General features: G+C 48.6%; 3 annotated features.

Moving 5' to 3' along the window:
- Positions 12,691-13,191: an enhancer, noted in NCBI's record as "H3K4me1 hESC enhancer chr16:2932133-2932633 (GRCh37/hg19 assembly coordinates)". NCBI's record gives its function as "activates a minimal SCP1, AML or CMV promoter by ChIP-STARR-seq in primed H9 embryonic stem cells {active_cell/tissue: H9 hESC(primed)}" and the evidence as "EXISTENCE:reporter gene assay evidence [ECO:0000049][PMID:30033119]".
- Positions 12,691-13,389: a biological region, named in NCBI's record as "H3K4me1 hESC enhancer GRCh37_chr16:2932133-2932633".
- Positions 12,920-13,389: a silencer, noted in NCBI's record as "silent region_7076". NCBI's record gives its function as "represses an Ori minimal core promoter by ATAC-STARR-seq in GM12878 lymphoblastoid cells {active_cell/tissue: GM12878}" and the evidence as "EXISTENCE:reporter gene assay evidence [ECO:0000049][PMID:35858748]".

Consider the following 13,642-nt stretch of genomic DNA (forward strand, 5'->3'; position numbering starts at 1 on the left):
GAGACAGAACAAGGTCCGTGTCTTTTTGGGGTCAGCATAGGAACATAATCATTTTCTGCTTTATTAAGATTCAGCGCAGAAACTGACACATGGTGCTCCATGAGTGTTTGAGGAAGAGCAGGAGAGAGGAAATTATGTGCTTCGCTGGGCTCTCAATTTACTTATCAGTTTGCCTAACCTTGACCCTCACCGGGACTCTTACCTCAACCTTTTCTCTCCAATTATCCTAACAGCCCTTGGTGCACCACGTGCAAGGCCTGAATGCTAACAATTGAAAGCGTTTCAAAAGCGAAAGTCAGCCAGGGAAGGATTTTGAGTTGGGGGTGATAAAATCAACTTTGCTTTAGGATGAGAATCAGCCATCTGTTTGTGGAACAGGTTGAGGAGAGGAACAACCAGCAGCAGGGAGACCAAGACTTTGTTCCACACTGACCGTGTGTTAGGCCTGTGTAGAGAGAGATGGGGCTGCAGGGGTGAGCTTAAGCCGCGATCCTTGGCTCCAGGAGCTCAGTCTTCTGAGGCAGGAGATAGTAAACAGACAATCACTGTGACTGTGATGTACACACTGGGGGAGAAGGCAGGTTGAAGTCCTGGAGAGCAACTCACTCTGCCTGAAGGAGGCAAGGAAGCAGTGAGCCAACCCAGAACTCGTAGGGCTTACAGTCAGAGGGACGCTGTCAAAAAAGGGAAGACAGGAGATGACAGCATGTGAAAACTGCCTAGGCAAAGCCTGGAAAGGAAAAACCGCAGGAGACTGATGGGAGATGAAGCTGGAGAGGGTTAGAGTTTCTCACTGCAGACTGAGCATTTTTGAGACGGGGTCTCGCTCTGTCACCCAGGCTGGAGTGCAGTGGTGCGATCTCAGCCTCCTGGGTTCAAGCACTTCTCTTACCTCAGCCTCCTGAGTAGTTGGGACTACAGGCACATGCTACCACGCCCAGCTAATTTTTTGTATTTTTAGTAGAGACAGGGTTTCACTGTGTTAGCCAGGATGGTCTCGATCTCCTGACCTCGTGATCCGCCCTCCTCGGCCTCCCAAAGTGCTGGGATTACAGGTGTCAGCCACTGCGCCTGGCAGGGGAGGTTCTTTACTGTTCTCCAGGCTTGAGCTCTCTTGTCTCCAGCGAACCAGCTCTTCAGCTGTGTCTCCTGCCCTGTCTCTGCAATCTAGCCAAGAATGAATCCTGATTCCGCAGCGTGGCCGAAGGTTGGTGGCTGTATATCTGGCCCACAATGTCCTTTATCCCCAAAGCTCCATTCAAGCATGTCTGTCTGTCTATCCTTTTATCTCTTTTCTCTCTCAGCATTTTGTAAAATTTGCTCAACTTTAGCATATAGCTGGATGCCTTGACTCACAGTGAATCCCTCAGGTTTTTTTTGAGGCAGGGTATCATTATATTATCCATGCTGAAGTGCAGTGGTTATTCACAGACGTGACCATAGTGCACCACACCCTTGAACTCCAGGGATCAAGCCATCCTCTTGCCTCAGCCTCCCGAGTAGCTGGGAACACAGGCTCATACCACTGAGTCTGGCTACCAATAATTTTTATTTTAACAATCTGTAGGTCAAACCTGAAAAACCGCCTCTAAATAACTTATAATTTTGATATATTTACGTTTCGATCCTTATGATGTTTGCATTTTGTTTCTGTATTCCAGGGTTGCAAGCATATTCTACTTTTCCCAATATGTTTATAGTTTGAGGTTTTAAAAACATTTTTATGAACAATATAAAGATATACTATTTTCCAAATATGTTAAGTAATTTTTTCAGCAATGTTTATTGAATCAATCATCTTTTCATTCCCCAGTGATTTAAAATGACATCAACGTAAGATATATCTGTATATATCTGTTAGGGTAAAATTCATTTGTGTGATCGAGGAAGCAGAACCCTCAAGGAGCGATGTAACATAATTACAGCAGGGCACAGTGGCTCACGCCTGTAATCACAGCACTTTGGGAGGCTGAGGTGGGTGGATCCCTTGAGATCAGGAGTTCAAGATCAGCCTGGCCAACATAGTGAAACCCCGTCGCTACTAAAAATACAGAAATTAGCTGGCATGGTGGCACATGCCTGTAATCCCAGCTACTCGGGAGACAGAGGCAGGAGAATCGCTTGAACCCAGGAGGTAGAGGTTGCAGTGATTGTGCCACTGCACTCCAGCCTGGGTGACAGAGCAAGACACTGTTTCAAAAAAAAAAAAAAGAATTAGGCCAGGCTCAGTGGCTCACGCCTGTAATCCCAGCAATTTGGGAGGCGGAGGCAGGAGGATCAGTTGAGCCTCGGAGATAGAGGCTGCAGTGAGCCGTGATGGCAACACTGAAATCCAGCCTGGATAATGGAGTGAGGCCCTGTCTCCAAAATAAATAAAATTAAATTAATAAAGTAAGTATAGGGATTGGATTTTCCGTGACTATGGGAGCAAGCCCAGGGAGCTGCCTCCAGTTGACTTCTGCACCTACGTTGGCTGAAGCTGGTTGTAGCAAGGAGCGCTAATAGGAAAAAATTATGTGTGAAGCAGGGAGTGTGAGAAGATGGAGCCACATCTGTCTCTCACTGCCTACAGCCTCAATATCAAACAGAATAAGCTGCTGCCTGCTACCTCAACTCTGCACACGCCTGGCTCAGACTCTGAGCAGCCAATGGAGGAGACATGGTGGGAGCTGAGGGAGCCGAGGGCCTGGCTACTGCCCAAAGCGGGCAGCACAGTGAGCTACGATGGGGACTCATCCCCACTCCCCACGCTGACCCCAGAGCTGCATGGCTGATGCTTCACTTAAACCTTCTGATCTTGCACAAACTTCTCTTAAGGCCAGTCATCATAACATGGAAGGGAATTCTGAAAAGATATTCCAGGCCAATTCTCATCAAAACCAAGCTGGGGCCAGGTGCAGTGGCTCATATTATTTTATAAATAATAAAAAAGTATTAAAATTTGTTCGCTGGGCGCGGTGGCTCATGCCTGTAATCCCAGCACTTTGGGAGGCTGAGGTGGGCGGATCACAAGGTCAGGAGATGGAGACCATCCTGGCTAACATGGTGAAACCCCGTCTCTACTAAAAATACAAAAAATTAGCCGGGCGTGGTGGCGGGCGCCTGTAGTCCCAACTACTCAGGAGGCTGAGGCAGGAGAACGGGGTGAACCCAGGAGGTGGAGCTTGCAGTGAGCCGAGATCGCACCACTGCACTCCAGCCTGGGCAACAGGGCGAGAGTCTGTCTAAAAAACAAAACAAACAAACAAAAAAATTGTTATAGAGTTGTTACATCTCCCACTATGATTATAGGGGTTACTTTGTCAATTTTTATTTGTAATGTGCCCATTTTTTCTTTATATCTTTGAGGTTATGATGTTAGGTGCATACAAACTCATGATTCTTAGGTCTTCTTCTCAAAAAAAAAAAAAGAAGGAAGGAAAGAAGGGGAGGGAAGGGGAAGGGGAAGGAAGGTTAGGTTCAAGCTATATTTATCCCACGATTGAAACCAAATACTTTAGGAATGTGTGTGCCTAGGCTTTGCGCATTGGTAATTTGATTCTGAGCTGACATCTACTGAAATAAACATTCCTTCCTCACCCATAAAGGCCAGGATTTTTTTCAACACTTAAAACATCTGATTGAAAAAAGACAATGGAACCCCAGAATGAGGAAAGTATCAATATAAAATATATCAGTGAATGTTTTCAACAATGTAACAATTAGCTTAACAATTGACATGCAGTATAAACAAGTAGTAATTTTAGTGTAAAAAGGTTATGAAAATATGCAGAAAATACACGTCTAAAGTCAAGAAGCAAAAGATATTTTAAGGCCAGGCACTGTGGCTCATACTTGTAATCCCAGCACTTTGGGAGGCCAAGGCGGGTGGATCACCTGAGGTCATGGTGAAACCCTGTCTCTACTAAAAATACAAAAATTAGCCAGGCGTGGTGGCACATGACCGTAATCCCAGCTACTCCAGAGGCTGAGGCAGGAGAATCACTTGAACCCCAGGAGGTGGAGGTTACAGTGAGCTGAGGTCACACCACTGCACTCCAGTCTAGGCGACAGAGTGAGACTCCATCTAAAAAAAAAAAAAAAAAGACATTTTAGTTTTACTTTCTGGTATTTAAGATAAATTATGTGGAAAAAGTGAAATTACTGATGTTCAAACCATTTTTGAGGGGCAATTTTAATAGATCTGCCACTTTCTTGACCATTCCTTTCTTCTTTTTAAATTGAGATTTAATTCACATGCCATAAAATTGACCATTTTATTTTATTTTGAGATAGGGTCTCATTCTGTTACCCAGGCTGGAGTGCAATGGTGCGATCTCAGCTCACTGCAGCCTCGACCTCTCTGGCTCAAGCGATCCTCCTGCCTCAGTCTCCTGAGTAGCTGGGACCACAGGCGCACACCACCACACCCACTCTGTTTTTAGTAGAGATGAGGTCTCCCTATGTTGCCCAGGATAGTCTCAAACTCCTGATCTCAAGTGATCCTCCTACCTCAAGCCTTTCAAAGTGCTGGGATTACAGGCATGGGCCACTGAGCCCGGCCAGAAAATTGACCATTTTAAAGTGTACAATTCCGTGGCTTTTGGTCTGTTCACAAAGTTGTGCATTGATAATCATTAATTCCAAAAATGTTTCATCACCCCCAAAAAGAAAACTAGTGCCCTAGTAGCAGTCACTCCCCCAAGCCCCTGGCAACCAACCAGTAGTCCACCTTCTGTCTCTGAATTTGCCCGTTCCAGACATTTCACATAAATGAACTCATGTAGCCTCTCGTGTGTGGCTTCTCTCACTTGGCATCATGTTTCAAGGTTCATGCCCGTCGTAGCATGTATTGTATTTCCATTGCAGGGATAGACCACGTTTCATTTAATTGTTAATCATTTAAATGATTAAATGGACATCTGTATCACTTCATATTTGTTTCACTATCATAAATAATTCAAAAATCCGTGTGGCTAAATCCCTGTCACTTGTGGACAGTCCAAAGCAGTCAAATTGCCATGAAACCACCAAGTTGAAGGGATCAACAGGACCCCTGCCCACCGCGTGGGTGCCTTCAGCAGCCTGCACCCCGGCAAAGCTGAGGTGTTTGGATTAAGAAATGGGGGAGGGGCAGGGCGTGGTGTCTCACGCCTCTAATCCCAGCACTTTGGGAGGCCGAAGAGGGCGGACTCTTTGAGGTCAGGAGTTCGAAAACAGCCTGGCCAACATGCTGAAATCCCATCTCTGCTAAAAATCCAAAAAAATCAGCGGGACGGGATGGTACACACCAGTAATCGGGAGGCTACTCATGAGGCTGAGGCAGGAGAATCGCTTGAACCCAGGAGGTAGAGGTTGCAGTGAGCCCAGATCACGCCACTGCATTCCAGCCTGGGCGACAGGGACTCCATCTGGAAAAAAAAAAGAAAAAAAAAAAAAAAGAAAAGAAAAGAAAAAAGGGAGAGGGGTGTAAAGACGAAGAAAAGGCTCCTCTCTCGTGCATGCAATCTCTGCACTTTTCCTTGAGCTGCACAGAGCGCTGGGCAGGGCCTCATCCGGGTCAGAGCCGGAACCTGGGGACATTCTGGCCGATGCTCTTGGCGGCCAGGAGAGGGCGCGCGCGGACTCAGCGGCCGCCCGACTGCCTCACCAGGACCTAGACCGTGCCGGCCGCCAGGAGGGCGGTTCTGCGCCGCAGCCTCAGTCCCTTCTCAGGATGGGGAGAACTTGCTGATAATGTTTTTTTTTTTTTTTTTTTTTTTTTTAACACAAAAGACCATTATCAACAGTATAAACAAACGCATTTATGATGATCTGTGTCCCCCAATATTCATGTATTGAAACTTTTTTTTTTTTTTGAGACGGAGTGTCGTGGAGGCCAGCGGATAACTGGAGGTCAGGAGTTCAAGACCAGCCTGGCCAACATGGTGAAACCCCGCGTCTACCAAAACTACAAAAATTAGGCCAGGCGCGGTGGCTCACGCCTGTAATCCCAACACTTTGGGAGGCCAAGGCGTGTGGATCACGTGAGGTCAGGAGTTCGAGACCAGCCTGCCCAACATGGTGAAACCCAGTCTCTACTAAAAATACAAAAATTAGCTGGGCATGGTGGCGGGTGCCTGTAATCCCAGCCACTCGGGTGGCTGAGGCAGGACAATCGCTTGAATCCAGGAGGCAGAGGTTGCAGTGAGCCAAGATCGCATCATTGCACTCCAGCCTGGGCGACAGAGAGAGACTCCGTCTCAATTAAAAGGGCGACAGAGCGAGACTCTGTCTTAATTTAAAAAAAAAAATTTAGCCAGGCGCGGTGGTGGGCACCTGTAGCCCCAGCTACTCAGGAGGCTAACGCAGGAGAATCGCTTGAACCTGGGAGGTGGAGGTTGCAGTGAGCCGAGATTTCACCATTGCACTCCAGCCTGGGCAACAAGAGCGAAAATCAAAAAAAGAAAGGAAGGAAGGGAGGGAGGGAGGGAGGGAGGAAGGAAGGGAGAGAAAGAAAAAAGTCCTTGATGAAGCAACACAATCATTCATTTTATTAATTCTTAGCCATTGAGTACACGTCTTTTTAGTATTTTGTTAGTTGAAATGGAAAAGAGGAAATACACATACAGTACCTCTGGGCATACAGTTGTCTCTAGCAGAACAATATGTGCAACTATTTGAATTGTGCTATTAGCTATTTTTTTGTGGAACACTTTTAATTGATAGAACCACTGACAAACTGTGGTTATTCAGATGTGGGTATTTGGCAGCCATCTTCTCAAAAATGAGAAAAGTGAGGGCCAGGTGCAGTGGCTCATGCATGTAATCCCAGCACTTTGAGAAGATGAGGTGGGTAGATCACTTGAGTCTAGGAGTTCGAGACCAGCCTAGCCAATATGTCGAAACCCCAGCTCTACTAAAAATACAAAAATTAGCTGGGTGTGGTGGCACATGCTTGTAATTCCAGCTACACAGAAGGCTAAGGCACAAGAATCACTTGAACCCAGGAGGCGAAGGTTGCAGTGAGCTGAGATCACGCCACTGCACTCCAGCCTGAGTGATGGAGTGAAACTCTGTCTGGAAAAAAAAAAAAAAAAAAGAGAAAAGTGAGAAGTGAGTCTGTCACTTGAAGGAAAATAACTGACAGTATTTGTTGCCAAGGATAAAATTTAAAATTCTAACTTTTGGCTGGGCACAGTGGCTCACGCCTGTAATCCCAGCACTTTGGGAGGCCAAGGTGGGTGGGTCACCTGAGGTCAAGAGTTCAAGACCAGCTTGACCAATATGGTGAAACCCCGTCTCTACTAAAAATACAAAAATTAGCCAAGCGTAGTGGTGTGCCCCTATAGTCCCACCTGCTCGGGAGGCTGAGACAGGAGAATTGCTTGAACGCGGGAAGCAGAGGTTGCAGTGAGCCGAGATCGTGCCGCTGCTCTCCAGCCTGGGCAACAGAGCAAGACTCCATCTCAAAAAAAAAAATTCTAACTTTCAAGCAAAAATTAAAATGTTGGGGCCAGACACGGTGGCTCACGCCTGTAATCCCAGCACTTTGGGAGGCCGAGGCGGGTAGATCACCTGAGGTCAGGAGTTCAAGACCAGCCCGGCCAACATGGCAAAACCACATCTCTATTAAAAATACAAAAAATTAGCCAGGCATGGTGGTGGACACCTGTAATCCCAGCTACTCAAGAGGCTGAGGCAGGAGAATTGCTTGAACCCGGGAAGCGGAGGTTGCAGTGAGCCGAGATCACACCATTGCATTCCAGCCTGGGCAACAGAGTGAGATTCTGTCTCAAAAAAAAAAAAAAAAAGTTAGAAAACTTGTATTTGACACCATTCATTTATATTATATAATAAAATATGTCAACATTTCATAAGATGTGCATTATTCAATGAACCAATATTTTCTAAAAAGCCAATGCATGGTGTTATGAGACCACACATGGGTACAAGATCCCTCCAAAATGCTAAAAGACCAGTGGATTATTATTATTATTTTGAGACAGGGTCTCACTTTGTCACCCAGGCTGGAGTGCAGGGCTCAATCTCGGCTCACTGCTGCCTCAAGCTCCTGCGCTTGAAGGAACCTCCCACCTCAGCCTCCTAAGTAGTTGAGACTATAGGCGTGCACCACCACAGCTGACTAATATTTTTTTTTTTTTTTTGAGACGGAGTGTCATTCTGTGGCCCAGGCTGGAATGCAATGGCATGATCTTGGCTCACTGCAAACTCTGCCGTCCGGGTTGAAGTGATTCTCCTGCCTCAGCCTCCTGAGTAGCTGGGATTACAGGCACGTGCCACCACGCCTGGCTAGTTTTTGTATTTTTAGTAGAAACGGGGTTTCACCATGTTGGTCAGGCTGGTCTCGAACTCCTGACCTTGTGATCCGCCCACCTCAGCCTCCCAAGTGCTGGGATTACAGGTGTGAGACACGGCATCCGACCACACCCAACTAATTTGTAAATATTTTGTAGAGATGGGTTTTCGCCATGTTGTCCAGGCTGGTCTCAAACTCCTGGACTCAAGAAATCCACCCTCCTCAACCTCCCAAAGTACTGGGATTACACGCATAAGCCACGTCGCCTGGCTGACCAAGGGATTCTGATGTAATTGAATACAAAAATTGTACTGATGCCACTTCAGATTCTACACTGCAACTAACCTTTAAGAACCACCACATGAGTTTTGATGTAGTATCAAGGAAGACTATCCACAATTATCTGAAAAGGCTGTTAAAATATTTCTCCCTTTTCCAAATATTTATCTGTGTGGGCTGGATTTTCTTTGTGTGCTTCAATGCAAACAACACATCACAGAAGAGTGAATGCAGAGGCAGTTGTGACAATGCAGCTGTAGTCTCTTAAGCCAGACACTAAAGTGATCTATTTTTTGAGACAGGGTCTTGTCCTGTCCCCCAGGCTGGAGTGCAGTGGCATGATCTCAGCTCACTGCAACCTCTGCCCGCCGCGTTCAAGCGATTCTCCTGCCTCAGCCACGTGAGTAGCTGGGATTACAGACTCGCGCCATTAAGCCCAGCTAATTTTTGTATTTTTAGTAGAGGTGGGGTTTCACTGTGTTGGCCAGGCTGGTCTTGAACTCCTGACCTCGTGATCTGCTCACCTCAGCCTCCCAAAGTGCTGGGATTACAGGTGTGAGCCACCGCGCCGGGCCAGTGATTTTTATTATTTATTTATTTATTTATTTGAGACGGCGTCTTGCTCTGTCACCTAGGCTGGAGTGCAGTGGCGCGATCTCGGCTCACCGCAACCTCCGCCTCCTGGGTTCAAGCAATTCTCATGCCTCAGCTTTCCGGGTAGCTGGGATTACAGGTGCATGCCACCACGTCCAGCTAATTTTTGTATTTTTGATAGAGACAGGGTTTCACCATGGTGGCCAGTCTGGTCTCAAACTCCTGACCTCAGGTGCTCCATCTGCCTCGGCCTCCTAAAATGTTTGGATTACAGGCGTGAGCCACCGCGCCCAGCCACTAAAGTGATTTTTAAAAGTGTAAACACTGCCACTCACTGATTCCTTTGGTTTAAAGATATACAGTGGGTTAATTACCACTGTTTTTAATAAATCTGTTTTTAAATTTATCAGTTTAAGTTCCTTTTTTCCAAGACGGAGTCTTGCTCTGTCGCCCAGGCTGAAGTGCAGTAGCATGATCTTGGCTTACTGTAACCTGCCACCGCCACCCGCGGCTCTGGTTTAAGCAATTCTGCCTCAGCCTCTGGAGTAGCTGGGATTACAGGCACATGCCAAAACACATGGCTAATTTTTTTGTATTTCTAGTAGAGATGGGGTTTCACCATGTTGGCCAGGCTAGTCTCGAACTCCTGACCTCATGATCTGCCTGCTTCAGCCTCACAAACTGCTGGGATTACAGGCGTGAGCCACTGCACCCAGCCGTCTTGTTTTTTTTCCTCACTCTGTTGCCCAGGCTGGAGTGCAGTGGCATTGTTTTGTCTCACTGCAACCTCTGCCTCCCGGGTTCAAGCCTCCCACGTAGCTGGGATTACAGTCGCCCACGACGACCACACCCTGCTAATTTTTGTATTTTTAGTAGAGACTGGGTTTCACCATGTTGGCCAGGCTGGTCTCAAACTCCTGACCTCAGGTGATCCACCTGCCTTGGCCTCTCAAAGTGGTGGGATTACAGGCATGAGCCACTGCACCCAGCCTAAATTTCTATATAGTAAATATTGATAGATGTAACCCACATAACTAAAATCTCTCTGAGCGTCTCAATAACTAACAGTGAAAATGATGGCGGCAGGAGGCAGACAAATCCCCAGGCAGACAGAGACAGATCCCATCCCTGGTGAAACTGGCCTTCAAACCAAAGACATTTTAAAGCCTGAAAACCAAGCTACAAGTCTCTGATAAATTCATGGAACATACTGAGAACCTCTCTTCCCGTGTGGCCCACTTTCCTCTGACTGATCCCCACATTTCACCTATTTTACATACACCTACCCTTCCCTAACTGGTTGTTTACACTGTCATGCCCAATTTTGAGTGCCTTTTAAGCCTTTTTTGCATACTCAGAAACCAATCAGCATGCACTCCCCCATTCTGAGCCAATAAAAACCTCAGACTCAGCCACACTTGGGGTCTACACACCATGGCGGGGGGAACTACCCGACTTTGAGAGGGTCCCCTCTTCGCTGAGAGCTGTTTGTTAGCTCAATAAAACTCTTCACCCTGCTCACCCACTGGCTGTCAGCATAACCTCATTCTTCTTGGATGTGGGACAAGAACTCTGGAGGGTCTACCACTGGTAGGAAAAAGGCTGTAACACTGTAGCCCTCCACCCACCCCCAGAACCTGCCCAGGCAAGAGGAAATAGCAGTGGGCTGGGCCAGCCCTGAAGCTGAGGACCCAAGGGGGGCAGCGGGATTGAAAGAGCTGTAACATGACACAAATGGCGGAATGGGTGGGGTGTCTCCTGCACCGAGCCCAGGCCAAGGGAGGCCTGAACAGGGGTGCTGCTGGCCATGGAGGTCTCTGGCTGACTAAGGGGCACTGAAAAATCCTGTGTCATAAGTGGTTCTGAGACCAGAAAGTTTGAGAATTGCTGGACTAAGGAATATAAATTTTAAAACCAAGACTCACCAGGCACGGTGGCTCATGCCTGTAATCCCAACACTTTGGGAGGCCGAGATGGGTGGATCACAAGGTCAGGTGTTCAAGACCAGCCTGGACAACATAGTGAAACCCCGTCTCTGCTAAAAACACAAAAAAAATTAGCCGGGCTTAGTGGCGGGCACCTGTAATCCCAGCTACTTGGGAGGCTGAGGCAGGAGAATCACTTGAACCCAGGAGGTGGAGGTTGCAGTCAGCCGAGATCACACCACTGCACCCCAGCCTGGGCAACAAGAGTGAAACTCTGTTTCAAACAAAAACAAAAAGAAACAGAAAACAACCAAGACTCTTATCAGTCCACATGACAATACTCTGTGAATTCTCACAATGGCTGTAGGAGGTGGGTGCGTTATCACCCCCATTTATCAGGTGAAGACACTGAGGCACAGAGAGGGGATGTAATTGCTCATTCACACAGCTGGCAATTGACACAGCAGGGACTTGAACCCAAGCATCTAACCCCAAGCTTGTGCACTTCCTTGGGGACAATTTGGCTACATGTTTAAAAAGCTTTTAAAAATATTTGCCTCCTTTGACCTCTTTTAAGACTTTCAAGAAATCTTTGGCTGGGTGCGGTGGCTCACACCTGTAATCCCAGCACTTTGGGAGGCTGAGGCGGGTGGATCACGAGGTCAGGAGTTCAAGACCAGCCTGGCCAAGATGGTGAAACTCCGTCTCTACTAAAAATACAAAAAAATTAGCTGGGTGCGGTGGCAGGCGCCTGTAATCTCAGCTACTTGGGAGGCTGAGGCAGGAGAACCACTTGAACCCAGGAGGCGGAGGTTGCAGTGAGCTGAGATCGTGCTACTGCACTCCGGTCTTGCCAACAGAGTGAGACTCTGTCTCAAAAAAAAAAAATCTTTAATATCTCGACAGGCAAGGTGGCTCACATGTCTAATCCCAGCACTTTTGGAGGCCGAGGTGGGCAGATCACCGGAGGTAACTCCGGTTTGATACCAGCCTGGCCAACATGGTGAAATCCCATCTCTACAAAAATATAAAAATTAAGCATGATTACCGGTGCCTGTAATCTCAGCTACTTGGGAGGCTGAGGCGGGAAAATCGCTTGAACCCGGGAGGCGGAGGTTGCAATAAGCAGAGATCACGCCACTGCACTCCAGCCTGGGCGACAGAGCGAGACTCCATCTCAAAAAAAAAAAAAAAAAATCTTTGACATCAGAGATTCATATACAAAGATATTTATAACATCATCAAGTTAAAAACAACCAGTAGTCTGTGAATGATTAATAGATAACAGCAAATAAATGCACAAAGGTAGCTGGGCACGGTGGCTCACTCTTGTAATCCCAGCACTTTAGGAAGCCGAGGCGGGTGGATCACCTGAGGTCAGAAGTTCAATACCAGCCTGGCCAACATGGTGAAACCCGTCTCTACTAAAAGTACAAAAATTAGCCGGGCGTGGTGGCGGGCGCCCGTAATCCCGGCTACTCAGTAGGCTGAGGCATGAGAATTGCTTGAACCCGGGAGGCAGAGGTTGCAGCGAGCCGAGATCACGCCACTGCACTCCAGCCTGAGCGACAGAGCGCAATTCTCGTTTCTAAAAAAAAAAAAAAAGCACAAAGGCCTTGAATGACACCAGACAATGCCCGGGGAGATAGGATAGTGGGATGGGGGCAGCGGGAGCCTTGGTAGCGGAGTCCACGGTGGGATTCAGAGACCTGCAGAGCCAGGGCCGGGAGGGGCAGGGCAGAGGAAGGGCGTGCAGCGACGCTGGCATTCGGACGTGAGAAGGCGGAAGGTGCGGGAGGCCCCAGAGGATCTCGACCTGGACCCTGGAGCCCTGGGGCGGTGGCACATTCAGCGGCCGCTTTAGAGCGAGGGGGGCGGGGCGCGGAGCCAGGCTTAGGGGGACCAAGGTGGCCGGGGTAGTGGGGGCGACCCCGCGGGGCTGGGAGAGCCGCGGTGAGCCTAGGGGGCTGTGCGGGGGCCGCTCTGGACGCTGCAGCCAAGTGTCCCAGGAAAGCAGCGCCCAGGGCCCCACAGCTCCCTGTGCCCGGACCCAGCCCAGTCCCACTGCAGTGGGTGGCTGGAGGATGGCGAGTGTCCCGGGCACCCCTTGGGCCGGGTGAACGTGGTTGGGCACGGAGAGGGCGGGGCCCGTGGGCACGGGTGGGCCCAATGGGCCAGGGCTGGACCAATAACGAGAAAGGATGAATGGACAGGGGCTGAACTACAGAGAGAGGGCGGGACTATTGGGCGAGGGCTGGACCAATGGGCAGGGGCTAAACTAATAGACGAGGGCTGGACCAATGGCGCGGATGAGGCTGCTGCGTCGTCAAGGATGCAGAGCTTAAAGCAAGGCAGTGGCTTCCATGAGCCTAAACACCTTCCCTCCGCACGCTCGGTATCGCGACGGGGGAGAGCAAAACCTTTAAACAAATGCTCCAGTTTTCCCCGCAGAGAGCCGGAGTCAAATCCGTGAGGAAGCCCGGGGGTCGCAGTGAAGCCCAACCCACTGGTGCTGGGATAACCTCGCCCGCAACCCGGATCCAGGCCGCAGGTCCCCCGAGGCTCC

Source organism: Homo sapiens, chromosome 16, assembly GCF_000001405.40.
Source record: "Homo sapiens chromosome 16, GRCh38.p14 Primary Assembly".
NCBI classification, from domain to species: domain Eukaryota; kingdom Metazoa; phylum Chordata; class Mammalia; order Primates; family Hominidae; genus Homo; species Homo sapiens.